Source organism: Homo sapiens, chromosome 10 (genome assembly GCF_000001405.40).
Source record: "Homo sapiens chromosome 10, GRCh38.p14 Primary Assembly".
NCBI lineage: Eukaryota > Metazoa > Chordata > Mammalia > Primates > Hominidae > Homo > Homo sapiens.
In genome coordinates this window covers 96,774,912-96,776,514 of record NC_000010.11, presented here as the reverse complement: position 1 = coordinate 96,776,514, position 1,603 = coordinate 96,774,912, and positions in this window count along the sequence as shown.

The window sequence follows — 1,603 nt, the reverse complement described above, 5'->3', positions numbered from 1 at the left end:
GGCAGTGAGCTGAGATCACGCCACTGCACTCTAGCCTGGGTGACAGGGTGAGACTCCATGTAAAATAAGTAAATAAATAAAAATTAAAATTAAAAAATTCATACTATAACATAGATGAATTTCAAAATAATTATGCTAAGAGAAATAAGCCAGACAAGCAAGTGTACCTACTGTGTGATTTCATTTACATAAAACTGTAAGAGCTGGACATGGTGGCTCGGCCCATAATCCCAGCACTTTGGGAGGCTGAGGCAGGAGGACCTCTTGACCAAAGAGTTTGAGATCAGCCTGGACAACATAGAGAGACTCCATCTCTACTAAAAATTAAAAAACTAGCCAGGCACGGCGATACATGTCTGTAGTTCCAGCTTCTCAGGAGGCTGAGGTGGGAGGATTGCTTGAACCCGAGAGGCTGAAACTGCAGTGAGCCGTGACCATGCCACTGCACCTCAGCCTGGGCAACAAAGTGAGACCCTGTCTTAAAAAAAAAAAATGAAATGCAAACTAATGCATAGTGACAGAAAACAGCTCAGTGGTTGTCTGGAGACGGGGTAGGTTTGTGTGGGGGTCCAGAGGAACACAAAGCAACCTTGAGGGCTGATGAATACGTTCATTATCTTGACATTGGTGATGATCACTGGCGTGTTTGTATAACATTTATCAAGTTGTACCCTTTATTATTTATTATTTATTTTTTGAGACGGGGTCTCACTCTGTCGCCCAAGCTGGAGTGCAGTGGCACAATCCTGGCTCACTGCAACCTCCGCCTCCTGGGTCCAAGCATTCTCCTGCCTCAGCCTCCCAAGTACCTGGGACTACAGGCACACACCACCACAACTGGCTAATTTGTGTATTCTTAATAGAGACAGGGTTTTGCCATGTTGGCCAGGCTGGTCTCGAACTCCTGGCCTCAAGTAATCCACCTGCCTCAGCCTCCCAAGGTGCTGGGATTACAGACATGAATCACTGCACCCAGCCACAAGTTATATCCTTTAAATAATGCTGTTTTGAAAATGGGAGAACGTGCTTTCTATTTCTTATTATTATGTTTTTCTGAGATGGAGTCTTGCTCTGTCACCCAGGCTGGAGCGCGGGGGCACAGTCTCGGCTCACTGCAACCTCTGCCTCCCGGATTCAAGCGATTTTCCTGCCTAAGCCTCCCGAGTAGCTGGGACTACAGGTGCATGCCACCACGCCCAGCTAATTTTTGTATTTTTGTATTTTTAGGGGTTTTGCCATGTTGGCCAGGCTGGTCTTGAACTCCTGAACTCAGGTGATCCATCGCCTTGGCTTCCCAAAGTGCTGGGATTACAGGCATGAGCCACTGCACCTGGCTGCTTTCTATTTTTTTTCTCATCTTTGTTGTGATGGTATCTATTTTTTATGCTATCTCCTCATGAAAATAAGTGTTACATGTATTTAAATGTTATTACTCCTAACATGTTTGAGAAACAGCAATAACAAGGGTAACAAATTTTCTTTTTGGCTTCTACATTTATGGGAATCTACATCTTTGGACAGCTTAACCTTTTAGTACTTGATCTTCAAAAGCCTGGACTTGAGCACTGGCACTGATAATTATTAGCTCTAATGTTGAGCCAGT